We start from the raw sequence: 24,711 nt of genomic DNA, 5'->3' as shown, positions 1-24,711 counted from the left end.
TAAGAATTGTATCTCAAGAGATGTCTCCTGTTCCTTTCCATTTTGAAAGAATTCATTTAAATTTAGTGTTAAGTAGAGAGGATAGGCTACTAGTGGTGTAAAATTTTATATTCTTCAAAACTTTTACAGTGAATAGGACTAAACAGAAAATCACTCTTTGTCCTCTCACAGCCCTACTAGAGTCAGGAGACAGCCGCTTTGAATAGTGTGAATTCTGTTATGGTAAAAGATGTTCATGAACACGGATCAAGGATGCGAGGACATGATGTCAGGGCTGTTCGCTGTAGTGACCAGCACGTAGAGCTCAAATGCTATCTCCAGAATGTTTTCAAACTAAGGCGATCCCTCTGCTGTTTTCAGACCACTAAAGAGGAACCAAAAACATAAAGTGAAAACCACACACGTAAATTAATACACTGATACACTTTTTCCCTTTCAAGAGCACTCCTGCAGTGTTTGAACATGGAAGATTGTGTTTGGTGACAGACTGTGCCGCCAACAGGCTCAACCTAAATATGGGAGAATTCCCAGGCAGAAACTTCCAGAGAAGTGTGCTCATCGATTCCCAAAAAGCTTCAAGGCCATCAGGCAGAACATCAGCACACTGAACATGAACAATAGAAGACATAGAGGATATTGGGCAGGGTGTTCTGGAGGCTTTGGAAAGCCCTGCAGATCTATGGAGACAAAATGTTACTTTACTTACAAGAAACCAGCTAACTTTCGGCAAAAACAAACCATCACGTATCCTAAATCATATGCTTACCTGACGACTTTCAGGGAAGTTAATTAGGAAGACCGGCCTTAAGGCCCTTGACCATCTGATGCTGTGGATGTTAATAGCTTCCAGGGACCCACAGATAATCAGATCGATCAAGGTCAGCTGTGAGAGACACAGGCCAGAGATGTCAGTATTACACTGTCCAAGGACAGTGGATGGGTGTTCACCAACCCAGGAGAGGTACAATGTTATGTGAAAAAGCACGTTTCATAGACAGCATAGTACCACTTTTGTAATACGACATTAATAATAACTAATGTTTGACGTTTTACTGTGTTCCATGTACTATAACAAGCACCTCTTGTAGATGATTTTAGACTCACCACACCAATTAGGTGGGCACTATTCCTGGAGGAGGAGCTTGAGGCACAGAGAGGGTAAGCATGTAGCCCCTGATCACACAGCTATCCAGGGCAGAGCTGGGACTGGAACCCAGACAGTCTGAGGGCTCAGCCCTTGCTATTAATCACACTGGGACATCCTTCCACACTACACCCTATTGACCTTCTCTTCAATTTGACATGTAAAAGAAAGGAGGTGTAGCCTAGTAACAGAGATGAGAATATCTAGAATACAGACAACCCCTATTAATCTTTATTAATGTCAGGTTTATGGGCAAGAGATTAAGGTGAAGATGGCCAAAAGAAGAACCTAGTGTATTTTAGAAAAATATAAGTAGAAAAGAACAATGTACCATCATCAAAAAAACTTGAATTTAGCCCCTTTGGTGGTAAGGCACAGAGGATCTAGTGAGCTCCTTCCCCTCAAAGGGCACGCCGCACGGGGCGGGTGTAGGGTCCAGCCCTACACGGTCTGTGGATTTTTCTCCTCGTGTGCAGAGATGAGAGATCGTAGAAATAAAGACACAAGACAAAGAGAAGAAAAGACAGCTAGGCCCGGGAGACCACTACCACCTAGACGCGGAGACCTATAGTGGCCCCAAATACCTGGCTGTGCTGGTATTTACTGGACACAAGGCAAAAGGGGCAGGGTAAGGAGTGTGAGTGATCTCCAATGATTGATAAGGTCACATGAGTCACGTGTCCACCGGACAGGGGGCCCTCCCTGTTTGGCAGTAAGGCGGAGAGAGAGGACAGCTTATGCCATTATTTCTTCTATGCATTTCAAAGACTTTTAGTACTTTCACTAATTCTGCTACTGCTATCTAGAAGGCAGAGCCAGGTGTACAGGGTGGAACATGAAAGTGGACCAGGAGCGTGACCGCTGAAGCACAGCATCACAGGGAGACGTTCCGGGCTCCAGATGGCTGTGGGCGGGGCTGACTGATGTCAGGCCTTCCACAAGAGGTGGTACAGCAGTCTTCTCTAACTCCCCCAAGGAAAGGGAGACTCCATAGTGCCTTCCATTGGCACTGACGCTACCGCTAGACCGAGGTCCGCTACGTAAGGGGCGTCTTCCCAGGTGCTGGCGTTACCGCTAGACTAGGGAGCCCTCTAGTGGCCTTTTCCAGGCGTAACAGAGGGCTCACGCTCTTGTCTTCCAGTCACTTCTCACCGTGTCCCTTCAGCTCCTATCTCTGTATGGCCTGGCTTTTCCTAAGTTATAATTGTAGAACAAAGATTATTATAATATTGGAATAAAGAGTAATGTTAACAAACTAATGATTAATGATATTCATATATAATCATATCTATAATCTATTTCTAGTATAACTATTCTTATTCTGTATATTTTCTTTATTATACTGGAACAGTTTTTGCCTTCAGTCTCTTGCCTTGGCACCTGAGTGGCTTGCCGCCCACAGGCGGGGGAAACAGCTAAGAAATGAGGCTGGTTCACAACTGCCGCACTGGAGGAAACCAGTGTGGCTGTCCCAGGGGAGCGAGGACAGGTGGATCACCAAGGGTTAAGATATTTGAGGGGCTTCATGGAGGAGGCACTCTTTGATGTAACCTACAGCACAGCAGAGCTTTAATAAAAACTCAGGAAGGTCAAGAGCTAGACAAGAAGATAGAATAAAAGGACTCTTGAGGAAGTACTGGGCTGGCATGTTGGGAAGCAGAGGGTCCTGGGAGTGGTGGCAAAGGGAAGCAGCAGAAAGTGATAAGGACCTATGGAAGGTGGCTTTGCAGGCCAGGCTAAAAAGGCAGGTCTCATTCCCAGGGCCTTTCAAATAACAGATGGAGCAAAGGAGTGAGAGGACAGCACAGGAGGCTGCATGAATATATCACATTCTACTTAAGACATATGTCTTATAATTTTTGTCTGGAAATCAGGTTGTTTCCAATTTTTCAATATTATAAACCGTCAGCCACCACCAATTTTGTGGCTAAATCTCTGAATGCATCCTTCTTTCCTACAGATAAATTCCCAGGAATGGAAGTCCAGGGTTAAAATATATTCACCTTCAAGGCTTTTGAAAGGAGCTGCCAAAGAGCCTTCCAGAAAGACAGTTTTATTCCTCTCTCTTGTAGGGTGTAAGAACATTTGTTTTATGGCAAAGACATGGAAGCAACTTAGGTGCTCATCAATGGTGGGTTAGGCAAAGAAAATGTGGTACATATACACCATGGAATACTATGCAGTCATTTAAAAAGAATGAAATTATGTCCTTTGCAGTAGTATGGATGCAGCCAGAGGCCATCATCCTAAGTGAATTAACAGAGAACAGAAAACCAAATACTGCATGTTGTCACTTATAAGTAGGAGCTAAACACTGGGTACTCATGGACACAAAGATGGCAACAGTAGACACTGGGGATTCCTGAGGGGAAGGGACAGAGGAGGGGAAGGGTTGAAAAACTACCTGCTGGATTCTAGGCTCACTACCTGAGTGATGGGATCAGTTGTACCCCAAACCTCACCATCACGAAATATACCCATGTAACAAACCTGCACATGTACCACCTGAATCTAAACTAAAAATTGAAATTACAAAAAGTTTGTTTTCAATCTTGCTAAGATTTTTTATAGGCAAACACATGGTATTTTATTGTCGTTTTATTCTATAATTTTTAATTAGTGACGTTAAACATCTTTCCTATCGGCCATTTTACATATTTTTTCCTTATGAGTTGCCTTCACTTATCTTCAGCAAAATTATCTATTGAGATATCTTTTTTTTCCTGTAATTTGGAAGTGCTCTTGATATGCTGAAATGTCTGCACTGCCACATTTTGCCCTATTTGTTCTTCAGTTTGGGGTTTGCTTGCAGTTGTGCTTATGGCGTTCACTGTATGGAAGTGTTGTTGTTTCATCAAAAGCAAATCTATTGAGTCTTTTTTCTTCATGGCTCCTGCCTTCGGTCATAAACTCTTACAGGTACTACAATGAACACTCGCCACTGTGGTTACCATGGTGCAGATGTCTTTTGTATCCTTCCAGAAAACCATTTGAGGAGTGACTTTTGCAAAATGTACCAGTCTGCCAAAGTATGCAGTCAGGCAGAGTACTTCTGCTATTGAGGTGGCCTGCAAGGAGAAAACAGAGGCTGAGCACGAGGGCTTGCCATGGGGAGGCTCAGCTTTAGTTATCCAGTACCACCCCCTGTCCCCTGCCACTACCCTACCTTTCCTGCCTGGCACCCTCTGAGAATTTGCCATGTCCCTTAATTTTACTGAAAATTGCAGCAACATTTTCTGCCGGTTAGAATGGCTTTTTCCTCTGAAAGGGAAATCTGCCACTGAGTCACAATCTCCATGACCCACACTGGCAGGGATTCCTGGGAGGGGCTGCACCAGCAGGCTGAGGACCAAGAACACATTTCCCCAGAAAAGGGGGAGGTCAGAGGCAGAGATCGTCTATGCTCTCAAATTCCCCATGTTCAAATTCCAGACACCTAGAAGTCCCATTTCTCTAACGGTAAGGTAATTCCCCAAAGATGTGTTTGGGAATAATGGGTCCTTCCATAAACATCACTGCCACTGCAGCCCTGCTGCCTATATGAGGCTGGTTAGAGACGAGGATGGAGCCCACTGAGATCAAGACCGAAGTCCTGATGGGCCTCCCTCTGTAGATTACGGGTGCCAACTCCAGACTCCTGTACCTGCTAGACTTGAAGCCCATGACTGCAGCCCAAGGTTTGCCTGAGGCTGTTGGGATGCAGTAACAACTTCCTAACAAGGGCACGTTCCTCCATCAATAGGGAGAGACAGGTGGAAGATAGGAAGAGATGGAGAAAGGGACAACTTGACTTAGGCTAAAAAGAGGGAAAAGTCTTGAGTGAGAGCTAGAGACAGGAGGAAGGGGCTGGCTGTGGGCCTGAAAGCAGCAGGGGACACTATCATTGCCCCCTAGTTCCAGCCCTCATGGGTCTGTGCACAGACTGGGCTGCAGCCCCTTGCAAATGTTCTAGCTCTCAGTCTGTTGACTCTTGAAGAGCTATAGAGACCCAATGTCAAGTCCAGCTTTGCAAAAGGGCCTTAGGCAATTTCAGGACATCCTTGCTTAAAACAAGACTTGCGTGGTAATGCTGGATGGGGGCCAAAGCCCTCAGAACACACTGGACTTTGGAGATTTACAGTACAAGGGCTGGCTGAAGGAACACTCTGAAACTCAGGCAGCCAACCCAAAGTTATACATGACCAATAACAGACAGGGGATGAGGACTCAGGAAAAGAGGCAAATGGCTAAGAAGACCACTCTGTGGGATTCCTACCTTGGCCAGAGTGGACCAGTGCTAAGGAGGGATAGACAACACTCTGTCCAGGTTTGTGAATGCACAGCTCTGTTTCTTCAGATTTTGTGTTTGTGTTGACTGTTATTGGGATAAAAGTCTTCTATCCAGAGAATTCATTAATTGCCGGATCTTTATTGTAAGACAGTTGGTGGATGTCACTTGGGCAGCCCCAGTGAGCCATACTTACAGTTTTCACCCCCTTTGCAGTGGCCTCCCAAGTTGACTCAGGTTTTGGCATGTGATTGACAACAGGACATCAGCAAGTGTGATGCAAGCAGAGGTTTGATGGTGCAGCACACTGGGATGCTCCTTCCTGGACCCAGCCACCCACTGGGAAAAGCCTAAGCCACGTGGAGCAGCTACATAGAAGAGGGCCGGGGCCACAGCTACAGCCAGCAGCTCCTGCCAGCCACGTGAGAGAGCTACCTTGATGTTCCAGCCTCCAGAGATCTAAGAGCTTCCAGACATCTACCACCCCAGCCACACCACCTGAGCCAATGTCCCACAGAGTCATGGGAGATAATAAAAGGCTGTTGTTCTCTAAAGCTAGGGGTTAGTGAACTCTTTCTGTTAAAGTAAACATGTGAAGCTTTGCAAGTCTTACAGTCTCTGTCACAACCACTAAACTGTTGATGTAGCTCCAAAGCAGCCAAAGACAACACATAAATTAATAAGTGTGGCTATGTTCCCATAAAACATTATTTGCAGACAGCAAAATTTGTATTTCATATCACTTCCATGTGTCACAAAATATTAATCTTCAGTGTCCTTTTTCCTAGTCATTTTAAAATGTAAAAACTATTTGTCTTAGTCTGATCAGGCTGCTATAAAAGAATACCATAGACTGGGTGGCTCATAAACAACAGAAATTTATTTCTCACAGCTCTGGAGGCTGGGAAGTCCAAGATCAAAGCACTGTCAAATTTGGTGTCTGATGAGGGCCCACTTTCTGGTTCACAGACAGCCATTTTTTTGTGGCGTTCTCACTTGACAGAAGGGGCAAGGGAGCTCCTTGAAGCATCTTTTATGAGGGGACTAATCCCATTCATGAGATGGGCTCTGCCCTCATGATCTGATCACCTCCAAATACCTCCACACTGGGACTAGGTTTTGAAATACGAATTTTGGGAACACACAAACATTCCATTTGTAGCACCATTCTTAGCTCATAGGCTGTACAAAAATAAGCAGCAGCTGAATTTGTCCCACAGGCCATGGTTTCCCAACCCTTGTTTTAAGTGTTTGAGTTTTAGGATGGTTTGTAAATATGTTTGTGCAATTGATAACTGAAATAAGGTAGAATAAAAAAGGGTCTGTGTGGTTGTTAAAAAGCAAAAGCTTTGAAATCAGGCTTAGGCTTGAAGCCTAGTTCTGCCTTTGTTGCCTAGTAACCTTGGACAAGTTATACAATCTTTCTAGGCTCAGCTTCCTTATCTGTTAAAATGGGTATAATAACAGCAGGCACATCCCATTGAGTCCCTGTAAGGCTTAAGGAGAATACAGAGAAAGCATGAGATCACCCAGCAGATAGCAAGCAGGGAGCAAATGACAGCTATTAAGACAGAGGTAAGAGTAATGACGAATCAGAAATCAACATGGGCAGGGCACTGGTCTACTATTTAGACCTCTCTGGATTGGCTGGTGAATTTGATACATTACTCAAAATCAAATGTGATCAGCCCCTAAGCACCAATAAATACTCTAATAATTTATGACTATGAAAAAAAGCTGAAAATGTGGCATGTACAAGTTGCATATTACACTATATGAGAACATCATCTACTTGGCAGTAAGTAAATTGGCTTTGAAAACATCATTGAACCATCTCTGATTTTGTGTGTGTGTGCACAGAAGACCAAAATCTCCCACTGCACTTAAAATGCGTTATGAAGGAAGCATGTGTTTGGTGAGTAGACAGAACTTCTCTAATCCCCCAGCAAAAAAAATAAATAACATCTAATTCATATTTGTTGAAATTTGAGGGGAAAAAAAGAAGAGGCACAAGGCCCAATCATCTATGACCAAATCTGGCTAGCCATCTGCTATGGCTTGCTTACCAAGAAAGGCAGGGGAAGCAACTCAGACTCTTCAAACAGGGCAAGAGCGAGGTCTACACAAATAAAGAAGTATGCGGCAACCTGCGTTGTCTAGTGGTTATAAAAATAGTAACGTCTGGAGGAGAAAAAGACAAAAGTGATTATAAACAACGAACAGGAGCTACACAGCACCCAAACATCTCTTTAAAGAACTAATGCTGGGTAAAATAAGAAAGTTAAGGCTTAGTCATGTTTCCTTTAAATTCTAGGGAGCAGGAGGCAGTATTTAATGATCATATACTATAAACACTAACACAAAAAAATCAAGCATATGATCATAACTCAAAGCACATTTTCTTAACAGTCTCAAGCTAAGATTATACCTTCCCATGGGGTTGTTGTGATAGTAATAAGAGAATACTTGCAGAGGACTTGAACAGTGACGGACACAGATTAAACCCTCAGTTAAAGTGGCCTATTATGATGTGGCATGGTGGCCTAACCCAATTTTAAAATGTACATCATCCCATCTTAACATGATAGACTCAGAAGAGATCTGGCAAAAGGTCATGCCAGTCTCTCCCCAGGTGGGGACAGTACCCCAAACATGCTCGGCAACATCCAGGGATGAGGTATTGGCTGCCTTGGGAGGCCCTGAGGCTGAGCCCTAGTGATAAACAGGCTGAGCACCTGTAGGGGGTGACAGAGAAAAAGCTGAATTCCCATGAGAAGAGCAAACATATGGATTGCATCACAAAACAATGGACAGGACAAAAAAGCCTTTTCACTTGAGGTAACTCTAAGAGGATGACATAAAAGGAAAAGACAATGGCAAGTTCTTCCCTTGAATGCCCTAGCTTCTATGCTGGGTATTGCTCATTTTACTCATTTGTCTGATCTTAATCTATTTATTGAATGCTTCCCTGCGTGTGAGGCCCATGCTCTTATAACTCAAAAAAAAAAAAAAATTCAGCCAGGCATGGTGGCTCACATATCTAATCCCAGGCCTTGGTGGGAGGATCACTTGAGCCCAGGAGTTCAAGGCTGCAGTGAGCCATGATCACACCACTGAACTCCAGCCCAGGCAACAAAGCAAGACCCTGTCTCAAAAAAAAAAAAAAAAAGTATTGGATTACGTCCAAATCTATGTGCTGTACCCTATATACTTCTCAAAATATCTGTGTAAACAATGCCTTCAGTTTGGGTTCAAGTTCAAGAGTATCAAGTGCTGAAGGACAGGTGGTTCCACATGATGGTTTAACATGTTAGTTACCTGATGGCCTGAGGTGAGTTTCAAATGGAACATTTCTGTTGTACTGGGCATCCAAAACATAGGCAGCTGCCAGGAGAAGGTCCTGTTCCCCATTGAGACAGAGTAAGGGAGACCAAGTCAGAGGAGGAGAGGATACTTTTCTTTTTCCTTTGTTAAGTATGCACTGAGTATAAAAGGAAGCTCCCCTTCGCCTCTCCACAGACCCACTCTCCCAGAGGTAGCCAACATCTAAACAGTGTTGTCTCCACACCTCCAATGTCTCTTTGAGCACCGAGAATCCTGCAGTGGGACCAGGTCCAGACACACTCCACTTTCTTGAATTCAAATATAGGCTCTCAGAGGAAATGTAAATAAGCATTGACTAGAGCATGTATTTGTACCTAAATGGTATATTCATACATACATATATTAATATATGGTTAGGTACACATGTATATACAAATATATATACGGTCATGTGCCCCATAACATTCTGGTCAACAATGAACCACATATATAACAGGGTTCCCATAAGATTATAATGAGCTGAAAAATTCCTACCACCTAGTGAGGTCATAGCACAACAAAATACAAAATTGTGGTGATGCTGGTGTCAACAAACCTCCACGGCCAGTCGTATAAAATTCTAGCACATACAATTATGTATGGTACATAATATTTGATAATGATAATAAATGATTATGTTACTGGTTTATGTATTTACTACACTATGCTTTTTATGGTTATTTTAGATTGCACTCCTACTTATTAAAAAAAAAAGTTAACTGTAAAACAGCCTCAGGCAAGTCCTTCAGGAGGATTCCAGAAGAAGGCATTGTTATTCCAGGAGGTGACAGCTCCATAAGTGTTATGGCCCCTGAAGACCTTCCAGTGGGACGAGATGCAGAAGTGGAAGACAGTGATATTGAGGGTCCTGACCCTGTGTAGGCCTAGGCCAATGCATACGTTTGTGTCTTAGTTTTTAATAAAGAGTTTATGAAGTTAACATTTTTTAAGTTTAAAAATAGAAAAAAGCTTATAGGATAAGGATATAAAGAAAGAAAATATTTAGTATAGCTATGCAATGTGTTTTAAGCTGCTATTGCAAAAGAATCAAAACGTTTATAGAGTAGAAAATTTATAGTAAGCTAAGGTTAATTTGTTATTGAAGAAAGAAAAATATTTTTTATAAATGTAGTCAACTGTACAGTGTTTCTAAAGTCTACAGTAGTGTGCAGTGATTCCTAGACCTTCACATTTACTCACCACTCATTCACTGACTTACCCAGGACAACTGCCAGTCCCGCAAGCTCCATTCATGGGAAGTGCCCTATTCATCTTTTACCTTTTATACCATATTTTTACTGTACCTTTTCTATGTTGAGATACACGAATACACAATTGTGTTACAGTTACCTGCCATATTCAGTACAGTAATATGCTCTACAGGTTTGTAGCCTAGAAAAATAGTCTACAGCCTAGGTGTCTAGTAAGTTATGCCATTTAAGTTTGTGTAAGTACATTGTATGATATTTGCACAATGATGAAATCCCCTAGTGATCCATTTCTCAGAATATATCCCTGTTGTTAAGTGACGCATTACTGTATATATACATATACATACAAACAAATCTGTAACACAAAATTATATACTATGTGTATTTACACTACATTATATATTTATATACATATAAACACAAAACACAAAATTCCTTTTATATTTGCAAGTTTTGCCAAAGATGTGGAGCAACTGGAACTCTCATACGTTGCTGGTTGGAATAGAAAATGGCACATTTACTTTGGAAGACAGTTTGGTAGTTTCTTAAAACGTTAAAAAGTATGACCCAGCCATGCTACTTTGAAGTGTTTTCCAAAAGGAAAGACAGCATATGTCCACACAAAGACTAGTACATCCACCCCAAGTATGTGGCTCATGTTAGACACCTCATCCCAAAGCTGCACACATACACATACGTTCATCCCAGCTTAACAGCCCAAAACTAGAAACCAAAATGTCCACAGACAGGTGAGTGGATAAACAAAGTGTACTGTATCTCTACAATGGAATACTACTCAGCAATAAAAAGGAATGAGTAACTAATAGATGTAACAAAATGGATGAATCTCAAAATAACTGTGCCGAGTGAAAGAAGCCAACCACCCCCCGAAAAGAGTACTCACTGTATGATTCCATCTGCATAAAATTCTGGAAAATGAAAACTAACCTACAGTGACAGAACCCGCATCAGTGGTCGTGTGTTGGCAGGAGGAGGAAGATGGGAACAGGCTGGGCATGGTGGCTCATGCCTATAATCCCAGCACTTTGGGAGGCTGAGGTGGGCAGATCACTTGAGGTCGGGAGTTTGAAACTAGCCTGGCCAACAAGACGAAACCCCGTCTCTATTAAAAATACAAAAACTAGCCGGGCATGGTGCCATGCACCTGTAATCCCAGCTACTTGAGAGGCTGAGGCAGGAGAATAGCTTGAACTCGGGAGGCGGAGGTTGCAGCGAGCCGAGATTGTGCCATTGCACTCTAGCCTGGGCGACAGAGAGAGATTCCGTCTCAAAAAAAAAAAAAAAAAAAAAGAGTGGAACGAAGAGAACTGAGAGAGAGAGAGATTACAAATAGGCATAAGAAAACATATAGGGGTGACTGATATGTTCATTATTCTTATCATGGCATTACTATCCCAAGGGCATTCATACACCAAAACTCATCAAGCTGCATACTTCAAATAAATGTAGTTTAGTGTATGTCTATTATAATCTAAAAAAGCTGTTAAAATGCCCAAAATGAAAGACAAATACTTGGATTAAAAAAGTTGATGTAGAACAATAATCTCATAGATGAATTAACTACCGTAAGAGCCGATCGCTTTTTGAGTAACAGGTATGCTCAGGGTTGGTATGGCAATTCTTACAGGCAGTTTATTAAAATCTAAGAAGCACCATGTAAATGTGTTTAACACTTATCACACATTTTTCTTTTTTTTTTCCTTTTCGAGATAGAGTTTCACTTTGTCACACAGGCTGGAGTGCAGTGGCACAATCTCGGCTCACTGCAAACTCTGCCTCCCGGTTTCAAGCGATTCTCCTGCCTCAGCCTCCTGAGTAGCTGGGATTACAGGCACGCACCACCATGCCAGTCTAGTTTCTCTAATTTTAGTAGAGACAGTGTTTCACCATGTTGGCCAGGCTGGTCTCAAACTCCTAACCTCAAGTGATCCGCCTACCTCGGCCTCCCAAAGTGCTGAGATTACAGGCGTGACCCACAATGCCCAGCCAAACATTTTTCTTTTACATATTTAAAAAACATTCTAGTAGGAAAACCATTAATATCAATTATTTTTTTCATTGAAAATCTTTAACACTGAGGAAGAATACAGTTCCCAGGACATGCTTAGAAATATATTTTAGGTAGAAAATGCCTCGCATCAGCAAGAGTTGATTTTTTTTTTTTAATGAACACACACCAACTTTAAGAAAATTCCATTAAGCCTCAAAAAGATCATACTTGAAGAGTTCTGACATTGAGGCTTTTTAAAAAAATTTCTGGCAAAGATCTTTTAAGGCCACTGTTGTCCCCAGTGATGCTACAAACATCCTTACAGTCCCAGTGAGGCCATTTGTCCACAAACATAAGCAGTTCAACACTCACGGATTTGAGATGCATCCTTCATATGCCCTCCAGGTAGAGAAAGGAAAAAAACACTCACCAGCAATGCCTCAGCCAGTCAGGCCCTCGGGGTCATCTCCATGAGACAGATCCCAGACCCCAGACATTGAATGACCAGCACCTCATCACCCCCACCAACTGCCATCTGAACTCATCCTTGCTGTTTTAAAATCTGCTGATTCTATCATAATAGCCATTTCACCCTTACACTAACGTTTCAAAGCTTTCCCATTCTTAACTGGTATTACATTTCTGACATCTATCTCCTTTTAAAATCGCATCTCCTTTATGCTTTGGTTCTAATTGCCTTCCTTCTCCTCCTCCCTCCCATTTGTGCGCAACTTCTAAGTGTCCTGCGTTCCGTGTGGGAAGCGGTACTCTTAGAAGACAGACTTTACTGTAATAAGCATGTTTATTTGAACTAAGGCCATTTGTATTTTCCCATAAAACAAACTGTTTTTACCCAACCCAAGAATGTGGATTATGTTAGACACCCAATTCCACAACTTCACATACTTTTCAAGTTTACATGCGAACCACTGTCCATATCTACCATGAAAATAGCAAAGACCAAATAGCAGATGTTTCCCCAGATGCAGCTTAAATGTGGCTGCAAACCTCAAAACAGCATCCCAACTATGGGAGGCATTGGCAACTGTGGGAGTGGTGATTCTCAATCCCCACAGCATATGACAATCATCTTAACAACTTTTAAAGATCCTACTGAAGTCCAGGTCACATGCAGACCCCAACTGCATCAGAACCTCTGGGAGGTAGAACCCAGGATTAATCTTTAATTATTATTATTAAGTTCTAGGGTACATGTGCACAACGTGCAGGTTACACATGTATACATGTGCCATGTTGTTTTGCTGCACTCATTAACTCGTCATTTACATTAGGTATTTCTCCTAATGCTATCCCTCCCCCATCCCCCCAACCCATGACAGGCCCCAGTGTGTGACGTTCTCCGTCTTGTGTCCAAGTGTTCTCATTGTTCAACTCCCACCTATGAGTGAGAACATATGGTGTTTGGTGCTCTGTCCTTGCGATAGTTTGCTCAGAATGATGGTTTCCAGCTTCATCCATGTCCCTACAAAGGACATGAACTCATCCTTTTTTATGGCTGCATAGTATTCCATTGTGCATTTGTGCCACATTTTCTTAATCCAGTCTATCACTGATGGACATTTGGGTTGGTTCCAAGTCTTTGCTATTGTGAATAGTGCCACAATAAACATATGTGTGCATGTGTCCTTATAGTAGCATGATTTATAATCCTTTGGGTATATACCCAGTAATGGGATTGCTGGGTCAAATGGTATTTCTAGTTCTAGATCCTTGAGGAATCGCCACACTGTCTTCCACAATGGTAGAACTAATTTACACTCCCACCAACAGTGTAAAAGCATTCCTATTCTCCCCATCCTCTCCAGCACCTGTTGTTTCCTGACTTTTTAATGATTGCCATTCTAACTGGTGTGAGATGGAATCTCACTGTGGTTTGGATTTGCATTTTTCTGACGACCAGTGATGATGAGCATTTTTTCATGTGTCTGTTGGTTGCATAAATGTCTTCTTTTGAGAAGTGTCTGTTCATATCCTTTGCCCACCTTTTGATGGGGTTGTTTGATTTTTTCTTGTAAATTTGTTTAAGTTATTTGTAGATTCTGGACATTAGCTCTTTGTCAGATGGCTAGATTGCAAAAATTTTCTCCCATTCTGTAGGTTGCCTTTTCACTCTGATGGCATTTTCTTTTGTTGTGCAGAAACTCTTTAGTTTAATTAGATCCCATTTGTCTCTTTCGGCTTTTGTTGCCATTGCTTTTGGTGTTTTAGTCATGAAGTCCTTGCCCATGTCTATGTCCTGAATGGTATTGCCTAGGTTTTCTTCTAGGGTTTTTATGGTTTTAGGTCTAACATTTAAGCCTTTAATCCACCTTGAATTAATTTTTGTATAAGGCATAAGGAAGGGATCCAGTTTCAGCTTTCTACATACGGCTAGCCAGTTTTCCCAGCACCATTTATTAAATAGGGAATCCTTTCCCCATTGCTTGTTTTTCTCAGGTTTGTCAAAGATCAGATGGTTGTAGATGTGTGGTGTTATTTCTGAGGCCTCTGTTCTGTTCCATTGGTCTATATCTCTGTTTTGGTACCAGTACCATGCTGTTTTGGTTACTGTAGCCTTGTAGTATAGTTTGAAGTCAGGTAGCGTGATGCCTCCAGCTTTGTTCTTTTTGCTTGGGATTGTCTTGGCAATGAGGGCTCTTTTTTGGTTCCATATGAACTTTAAAGTAGTTTTTTCTAATTCTGTGAAGAAAGTCATTGGTAGCTTGATGGGGATGGCATTGAATCTATAAATTACCTTGGGCAGTATGGCCATTTTCACAATATTGATTCTTCCTGTCCATGAGCATGGAATGTTCTTCCATTTGTTTGTGTCCTCTTTTATTTCATTGAGCAGTGGTTTGTTGTTCTCCTTGAAGAGGTCCTTCACGTCCCTTGTAAGTTGGATTCCTAGGTATTTTTTTCTCTTTGTAGCAATTGTGAATGGGAGTTCAGTCATGATTTGGCTCTCTGTCTGTTATTGGTGTATAGAAATGCTTGTGATTTTTGCACATTGATTTTGTTTCCTGAGACTTTGCTGAAGTTGCTTATCAGCTTAAAGAGATTTTGGGCTGAGATGATGGGGTTTTCTAAATATACAATCATGTCATCTGCAAACAGGGACAATTTGACTTCCTCTTTTCCTAATTGAATACCCCTTATTTCTTTCTCTTGCCTGATTGCCCTGGTCAGAACTTCCAACACTATGTTGAATAGGAGTGGCGAGAGAGGACATCCCTGTCTTGTGCCAGTTTTCAAAGGGAATGCTTCCAGTTTTTGCCCATTCAGTATGATATTGGCTGTGGGTTTGTCATAAATAGCTCTTAGTATTTTGAGATACATTTCATCAATACCTAGTTTATTGAGAGATTTTAGCATGAAGGGATGTTGAATTTTGTCAAAGGCCTTTTCTGCATCTATTGAGATAATTGTGTGTTTTTTGTCTTTGGTTCTGTTTATGTGATAGATTACATTTATTAATTTGTGTATGTTGAACCAGCCTTGCATCCCAGGGGTGAAGCCAACTTGATCTTGGTGGATAAGCTTTTTGATGTGCTGCTGGATTCAGTTTGCCAGTATTTTATTGAGGATTTTCGCACCGATGTTCATCAGGGATATTGGTCTAAAATTCTCTTTTTTTGTTGTGTCTCTGCCAGGCTTTGGTATCAGGATGATGCTGGCCTCATAAAATGAGTTATGGAGGATTGCCTCTTTTTCTATTGATTGGAATAGTTTCAGAAGGAATGGTACCAGCTCCTCTTTGTACCTCTGGTGGAATTCAGCTGTGAATCGGTCTGGTCCTGGACTTTTTTTGGTTGGTAGGCTATTAATTACTGCCTCAATTTCTGAGCCTGTTATTGGTCTATTCAGGGATTCGACTTCTTCCTGGTTTAGTCTTAGGAGGGTGTATGCATCCAGGAATTTATCCATTTCTTCTAGATTTTCTAGTTTACTTGTGTAGAAGTATTGATAGTATTCTCTGATGGCAGTTTGTATTTCTGTGGGATCGGTGGTGATATCCTCTTTATCATTTTTTATTGCATCTATTTGATTCTTCTCTCTTTTCTTCTTTATTAGTCTTGCTAGCGGTCTATCAATTTTGTTAATCTTTTCAAAAAACCAGCTCCTGGATTCAATGATTTTTTCAAGGTTTTTTTTTCTGTCTCTATCTTCCTCAGTTCGGCTCTGATCTTAGTTATTTCTTGTCTTCTGCTAGCTTTTGAATGTGTTTGTTCTTGCTTCTCTAGTTCTTTTAATTGTGATGTTAGGGTGTCGATTTTAGAACTTCCCTGCTTTCTCTTGCGGGCATTTAGTGCTATAAATTTCCCTCACATGCTGCTTTAAAAGTGTCCCAGAGATTCTGGTACATTGTGTCTTTGTTCTCGTTGGTTTCAAGGAACATCTTTGTTTCAGCCTTAATTTCGTTATTTACCCAGTAGTCATTCAGGAGCAGGTTGTTCGGTTTCCATGTAGTTGTGCGGTTTTCAGTGAGTTTCTTAGTCATGAGTTCTAATTTGATTGCGCTGTGGTCTGTGAGACAGTTTGTTGTAATTTCTGTTCTTTTACATTTGCTGAGGAGTGCTTTACTTCCAACTAAGTGGTCAATTTTGGAGTAAGTGCGATGTGGTGCTGAGAAGAATGTAGATTCTGTTGATTTGGGGTGGAGAGTTCTGTAGATGTCTATTAGGTCTGCTTGGTGCAGAGCTGAGTTCAAGTCCTGGATATCCTTGTTAACCTTCTGTCTCGTTGATCTGTCTAAAATTGACAGGGGGTTGTTAAAGTCTCCCATTATTATTGTGTGGGAGTCTAAGTCTCTTTCTAGGTCTCTAAGGACTTGCTTTATGAATCTGGATGCTCCTGTATTGGGTGCATATATATTTAGGATAGTTAGCTCTTCTTGTTGAATTGATCCCTTTACCATTATGTAATGGCCTTCTTTCTCTTTTGATCTTTGTTGGTTTAAAGTCTGTTTTATCAGAGACTAGGATTGCAACCCCTGCTTTTTTTTTGCTTTCCATTTGCTTGGCAGATCTTCCTCCATCCCTTTATTTTGAGCCTATGTGTGTCTCTGCATGTGAGATGGGTATCCTGAATACAGCACACTGATGGGTCTTGATTCTTTATCCAATTTGCCAGTCTGTGTCTTTTAATTGGGGCATTTAGCCCATTTACCTTTAAGGTTAATATTGTTATGTGTGAATTTGATCCTGTAATTATGATGTTAGCTGGTTATTTTGCCTGTTAGTTGATGCAGTTTCTTCCTAGCATCGACGGTCTTTACAATTTGGCATGTTTTTGCAGTGGCTGGTACCGGTTGTTCCTTTCCATGTTTAGTGCTTCCTTCAGGAGCTCTTGTAAGGCAGGCCTGGTGGTGACAAAATCTCTCAGCATTTGTTTGTCTGTTAAGGATTTTATTTATCCTTCATTTATGAAGCTTAGTTTGGCTGGATATGAAATTCTGGGTTGAAAATTCTTTTCTTTAAGAATGTTGAATATTGGCCCCCACTCTCTTCTGGCTTGTAGTTTCTGCCGAGAGATCCGCTGTTAGTCTGATGGGCTTCCCTTTGTGGGTAACCCGGCCTTTCTCTCTGGCTGCCCTTAACATTTTTTCCTTCATTTCAACTTTGGTGAATCTGACAATTATGTATCTTGCGGTTGCTCTTCTCGAGGAGTATCTTTGTGGTGTTCTCTGTATTTCCTGAATTTGAATGTTGGCCTGCCTTGCTAGGTTGGGGAAGTTCTTCTGGATAACATCCTGACAAGTGTTTTCCAGCTTGGTTCCATTCTCCCCATAACTTTGAGGTACACCAATCAAACATAGATTTGGTCTTTTCACATAGTCCCATATTTCTTGGAGGCTTTGTTCATTTCTTTTTACTCTTGTTTCTCTAAACTTCTCTTCTCACTTCATTTCATTAATTTGATTTTCAATCACTGATACCCTTTCTTCCACTTGATCGAATTGGCTACTGAAGCTTCTTCATGCGTCACATAGTTATTGTGCCATGGTTTTCAGCTCCATCAGGTCATTTAAGGTCTTCTCTATGCCGTTTATTCTAGTTAGCCATTCGTCTAATCTTTTTTCAAGGTTTTTAGCTTCCTTGCGATGGGTTCAAACATCCTCCTTTAGCTCAGAGAAGTTTGTTATTACCGACCTTCTGAAGCCTATTTCTGTCAACTCGTCAAAGTCATTCTCTGTCCAGCTTTGTTCCGTTGCTGGTGAGGAGCTGCAATCCTTTGGAGGAGAAGAGGTGCTCTGGATTTTACAATTTTCAGATTTTCTGCTCTGGTTTCTCCCCATCTTTGTGGTTTTATCTACCCTTGGTCTTTGATGATGGTGACCTACAGATGGGTTTTTGGTGTGGATGACCTTTTTGTTGATGTTGATGCTATTTCTTTCTGTTTGTTAGTTTTCCTTCTAACAGTCAGGTCCCTCAGCTGCAGGTCTGTTGGAGTTTGCTGGAGGTCCACTCCAGACCCTGTTTGCCTGGGTATCACCAGCAAAGGCTGCAGAACAGCAAATATTGCAAAACAGCAGATGTTGCTGCCTGATCCTTCCTCTGGAAGCTTTCTCTCAGAGGGGCACCTGGCTGTATGAGGTGTCAGTCGGCCCCTACTGGGAGGTGTCTCCAAGTTAGGCAACACGGGGGTCAGGGACCCACTTGAGGAGGCAGTCTGTCCATTCTCAGAGCTCAAACATTGTGCTCGGAGAACCACTGCTCTCTTCAGACAGTGATGTTTTAAATCTGCAGAAGTTTCTGCTGCCTTTTGTTCAGCTATGCCCTTCCCCCAGAGGTGGAGTCTACAGAGGCAGGCAGGCCTTGTTGAGCTGTGGTGGGCTCCACCCAGTTCAAGCTTCCTGGATGCTTTGTTTACCTACTCAAGCTTCAGCAATGGTGAATGCCCGTCCCCCAGACAGGCTGCAGCCTCACAGTTCGATCTTGGACTGCTGCGCTAGCAGTGAGCAAGGCTCCGTGGGTGTGGGACCCACTGAGCCAGGGGCGGGATATAATCTCCTGGTATGCCATTTGCTAAGACCATTGGAAAAGCACAGTATTTGGGTGGGCATGTCCTGTTTTTCCAGGTACAGTTTTCACAGCTTCCCTCAGCTAGGAAAGGGAAATCCCCTGACCCCTTGCACTTCCCAGGTGAGGCGATGCCCTGCCCTGCTTCAGCTCGCCCTCCATGGGCTGCACCCACTGTCCAACCAGTCCCAATGAGATGAACCATGTACCTCAGTTGGAAATGCAGAAATCACCCGTCTTCTGCATCGATCACACTGGGAGCTGCAGACTGGAGCTGTTCCTATTTGGCCATCTTGGAATGGACCCTCCCACGATTAATCTTTTAAAGTTCACAAATGATTTGAACATGCAGTCAAGACTGAAAACCACTGATGTAAATATAGCCATTTTCCTAGTATTTCTTCTATTTTCCTTTCCTTTCTTTTTTTTTTTTTTTTTCTGAGGCAGGGTCTTACTCTGTTGCCCAGGCTAGAGTGCAGTGGCATGATCATGGCTTACTGCAGCCTCCACCTCCAAGCTCAAGCGATTCTCCTGCCTCAGCCTCCTGAGTAGCTGGAGCTACAGGTGCACGCCACCATGCCCAGCTAATTTTTGTTGTAGAGACAGGTTTTGCCATGTTGTCCTGGCTGTTCAAAATCTCCTGGGCTCAAGCAATCCATCCAGCTTGGCCTCCCCAAGTGCTGGGATCACAGGTAACAACCACTGCACCCCTCCTGTTTTCTATTTTAATTGCACCATGACAATAATTGCCTTCTCTTGATTTTCTCTTTCTCTTCTTCTCAGAGCTGTGATATTTATTTTCCTCCTCCCAAGACTTAAAAATGTTGTTAAGGATTTTGTGTTTTCTCTTCCATCCCCACCCCTCAACTCAGTAAGCCTTCATTCTGGGGAAGATGAATCCCTTGGAATCCCTTAGAGGGTGAAAAGAATGCAGGAAGGAGGGAAAGATAAGATTCCAGAGGCTCTCAGTGGAGAGAGCCAGAAAGTTCCTTCTCTATGAACCCAGCAAATGTCTCCTTCAGTATTAACTGTGGTAGTAATAAACCATTGTAAGCCCCCAAATACCTTTAAGTCAGTCAAAAATAACCTAGGCAAAATGCAAAGTTGTTGATAGAAGTGTTTTGAGGTCAGGTGTGGTGGCTCACGCCTATAATCCTAGCATTTTGGGAGGCCAAAGTGGGCGGATCACGAGCTCAGGAGATCGAGACCATCCTGGCTAACCCAGTGAAACCCCATCTCTACTAAAAATACAAAAAATTAGCCAGGCGTGGTGGCGGGCGCCTGTAGTCCCAGCTACTCGGGAGGCTGAGGCAGGAGAATGGCGTGAACCCGGGAGGCGGAGCTTGCAGTGAGCCGAGATCGCGCCACTGCCCTCCAGCCTGGGCGACAGAGCAAGACTCCATCTCAAAACAACAACAACAACAACAACAAAAAAAAAAAAAAAAAAAGAAAAAGAAGAAGTGTTTTGAAAACAGCCAATATGTCTTGGTTATACAGGTAAGAACATTAACATAATTAACTATAACTTAAGGTAAAGAGAAGTTCCCATAAATTTTAAGTTAAATTCTTCCACTTCTCCATTTTTCTTTCCAATTCCAATGCTCCTTTCCTTACTAAAAACACTACACAGTAGTCCCCCCTTAATTGAGAAGAATAGGTTCCAAGACCCCCAGTTAGTTCCTGAAACTGAGCATAGTACCAAACCCTGTATATACTATGTCTTTTCAATCTGATAACCCAACAGCTACTAAGTGACTAGTGGGCAGGTAGTGTCTACTGCATAGATACGTGGGACAAAGAGATGATTCACGTCCCAGGTGGACAGAGCAGGACATCCGGAGATTTCACCATGCTACTCAGAACAGTGCACAATTGAAAACTTATGAATTGTTTATTTCTGTAAATTTTTATTGGATATTTTTGGACTGCAGTTGACCTAGAGTAACTGGAACCGCAGAAAACAAAACCAAAAAAACCATGGATAAGAGAGGCTACTGTACCTTCTGTCTCCCTCAGTACACCGTGTCCTCCCACAAGCTCTTCCTGCATACTGATAGAATAGATTACTGCTTTCCTCATGAGACCCCCCCATTCAAAAGCATCAGGTGATTTCTCTCTGCCTAAAGCGATTTCTCTTTGTCCAATCGAGTGCAAAACCCTTGGCTTAGCATTTGGGGGCTCCACAATCTCTCCTCTACTCCTGTCTCCAATTTAATCTCCCTCACTTCCCCTATAGGAACACTTTTCTCTGGCCAAAATTGGTGGACTTGTCCACTGTCCCTCTATGAACCCACCTCCGTGCCTGATCTCACGCTCACTTAAAACCAGGAGTAATTTTTTCCACTTTCCTTCACTGGACACCTGTCTCAAATTTCACTTTCTCCATGAAGATTGGCAATCCCAGCAGCTTCTATTTCCACACAAAAAGACTGCCTGGAAAAGCTGGGGTCTTGACACACATTGTGGACATTTTATACGAAGAAACAGCTGCGGGGGATAGGACAGGGCACAGCAGTTGTGGGAGAAGGGTGACTGAGTAGGTGGCAATGAGGTGTTAGGGTAAAGACCTTATGTTCCTCTATAAAGAAAGTAGCAAACCAACAACTGACAGGCCAAGTGCAGCCTAAAGTTGTGTTTTGTTTGGCCCAGAGAGTGTTTTTAGATGCTGGTTACTCATTCCAATTTTTTAAAAGCTGGAGCTTACACAAAAATTTGAACTTCTGGCTTCTCTTTAAAAGATTATAACATTCAGCCATGCTGCGCTGTATTTCAATAAGTTTTTGCTACCCACCCTGATTCTTGGTCACCTAAATAAACACTTATTATTTTCCCCAATTCTGTGGGTCAGCTGGGCAGTCCTGGTCTGGGCCAACTTAGCTGATCTCTGTGGTCATCTGGGACTGGATGGTCTAGAACAGCCTTGCTCACATATCTTGGCCATGTGCATCCTGCAGCAGGCTAGCCAGGGCTCTTCCACCGGTCGTGGTCAAAGTTTCCCAAGCGCATCAGGAGAGCAAGCACCAATGTCTGAGTGCCTTTCACACCTCTGCCTGTATCCCATCTACTAATGTCCCATCAGCCAAAGCAAGTCTCATGGCCAAACCCAGATTCAAGCGCTGGAGAAACAGATCCCACCTCTTGATATAAGGAGTTGCAAAGGCACATTGCAAAAAGGGTATGTATTCAGGGATGGGAAGACTTTCTGGCCATTTTTGCAATCTATGATAGCCGTGGTCAACTGGAGGTGGGTAGCTGTGGTCTTCTTTGGGCAGGGGACATGCCATCAGGTCATCACAAACCCCACTCCTCTCCCTCACTGAATCATTGCTACCTAGCCCACTGGCTTTATGTTGCTCCTTGGACCACCTGAGTGGAACACTTTCTCAAGCCCTCCTGGTTACTGCAAACAACAGCTCTGCAAATTGCTAAAAGGGAGCACCAGTGGATTAAGACCGCAAAGCAGGGTAATGCAGGATCTGCACGAACAGGTTTAAGAACAAGAACATTCAAAAAGAAGCACATAAAAGTATCAAGAGGTTAACATAGAACTGTCACAAAGGAATGGCATAAGACACAGGCTCTCAACCCTGGTGGCACTTTTGAATCACTCAGTAGCCTGAAACTTACTACTGCCCAGGACGCATCCATATCAATTACATCAGAATCTCAGGGGTAGAGGCTGAACTGGATACAGTCCTAAAAGCTCCTTAGCTAATGCTAACCAATGGCAAAATTGAGAATCACTAGCATTGGGTTCTTTCTATTTCAAAGTTCAAAGTGTTGGTAAATTCCCCCAAAGAAGTAGATTGCCATCTTAGTAGCCAAAAAAAAAGAAACTCCAATCACAAAAGAGTCTTAAAAATAAGTATTTGAAAGGAGAGGGGGTTAATGCATTTCAGGTGACTAGGCAGGTTCTAGTTACATGAATCCAAACTAATTCTTAAATAAGGTTAACCCAGTTATATTGGCCATTGAGTGCCCGAGGTCAGAACCTGGGGAGGGAAGAAGATCTAGATGCCTTCTCTGATTTAATGACTCAATCAATGATGTTATCTCAGATGGCAGAAGCAAGGCCAAAGCTGGGGACAAAGGAACTTCCCCCTCCTTTCCTTTACCTGCTCTCTCGAGGGATAGGACATATGGTAGAATGCATCTGTTGGATGTGGTCAAGCCCCTTTGGTGTGGAGGTTTTTCCATCAAAACCTCTCTGACCTGCAGGCCAGAGAGGGAGACGTATGCACCAGAGCTTTTTTTTTTTTTTTTTTTTTTTAGATGGGGTCTTGCTCTTTTGCCCAGGCTGGAGTGCAGTGGCACAGTGATAGCTCACTGCAACCTCAACCTCCTGGCCTCAAGCAATCTTCCCATCTCAGTCTGTGGAGCAGCTAGGATTACAGCCTTGAGCCACCTCACCCTGACTGGCAGAGCTTTTCAACTCCACACACAAGCCTGCCCTGTGGACCCTCTCCAGCAGGCTTCAAGAGCCCAGTGGGAAGCGGCAGGGGTGATAATGCAGCAGCCCAGAGCTGAAGGGGGCCAGTTCAAGACTAAGAGGGAGACTGAACAAAAACGCTCTCCACCTCCCACACACTTGCACAACGCAAAGGAGATGCAGCATGGACCCTGAGGGGTCTAAAGATTGGCTGTCATGACTGTGCCAGGCACTGTGCCAGGCACTGTGCCAGGGCCTGACCGACGTTGTCACCCATGGTCTTCATGACTTCTGACGGCCCATCATATTGTAATTCAGGCCTCAGATTTCCTGAATCAGAGCAGGGGCTCCTGCCATTGAAGTCCTGCCTCCCTCTCCACTGTCTTACTTCTTGTCCAGTGCAAGAAAATAGATCAAGAAGGGTCGCTTGGAAGCTCAAACTCTTTCGAAGAAGCTCAGGCTATCGCAGCGAAACAGACCCTGAGCGGCTGCGCAGCCCTTCTGCTGTGTCCCGCAGGCATCGGAAGACCCGGGGCTGCATCAGCACTCCCGGGGCCCACATCCTGCAGCCTTCTTTCCGGGCGTTTTCCTGCTGCCTTGGAGTTCTGTGGGGACGCGCATTGGTCACCAAACAAGGGTGCGCGCCTCACTGAGTGAGAATGGCCCCTAATCTGGAGCCCCAGCACCGATCCCTGCTCAGCCCCGGAGAGTGGGAGGCTTGTCGGGTCGCTTGACTACAACGTGCGGGCTGCGCTCTAGCTGGCGGTGCGCCTCCCAGCTGAGCAGCCCAATGAGCAGGGAACCGAGAAAGACCGAAAGCAGAGGGGTTCCTAGTCCCGCTGACCCCCAAGGGCCCTCATTCTCTGCAGCCGGCCGTGGCTTCCAGCGGGTTCGCTTTCTCCCTGGGAGTCCCGGAGGCGCCCGGCACCAGGAGGGCAACGAAGGGGCAGGAGGCGCTGCCGTCCGGGCGCCCTCCGAGCACAGCCAGGAAGTCCTCCTTACCTCATGGGTCTGCGGCTCCTCGCCGGGCTGCGGGCGCAGGCAGCTCACCACCGCGGCTAGGCCGGCCCCGGACATCGCGGCGGCGGGCGCGGCGAGCGGGGATGCGCGGGCGTCGGGGCGGCAGCCGCAACGGACTCTGCCCTCCTCGTGCAGGCCGGAGGCCCCGCCTGGGCGCGCGGCGCTCGGTCCTTCACGTGACCGCTGCGGGTGGGCCTGCGGGCGGAGGACGGGCGACGGCGGGGCGGGCTCCCAGGCTCCGGCC

General features: G+C 43.8%; 1 pseudogene across 1 annotated transcript; it reads right to left on the bottom strand.

Moving 5' to 3' along the window:
• Positions 1-3,683: 3,683 nt before the first annotated feature.
• On the bottom strand, positions 3,684-24,605 carry LOC100507334 (two pore channel 3 pseudogene; annotated as a pseudogene). Its single transcript, NR_037626.1, has 4 exons — positions 24,450-24,605; positions 8,730-8,811; positions 7,478-7,592; positions 3,684-4,212 (listed from the first exon to the last, which is right to left on the bottom strand). The product of NR_037626.1 is annotated as a two pore channel 3 pseudogene (transcript).
• Positions 24,606-24,711: the final 106 nt, after the last annotated feature.

This window comes from Homo sapiens, chromosome 2 (assembly GCF_000001405.40).
Source record: "Homo sapiens chromosome 2, GRCh38.p14 Primary Assembly".
Taxonomy (NCBI): domain Eukaryota; kingdom Metazoa; phylum Chordata; class Mammalia; order Primates; family Hominidae; genus Homo; species Homo sapiens.
The sequence above is the reverse complement of the archived record's forward strand: the minus strand, read 5'-3'. Positions and strand labels throughout refer to the sequence as shown.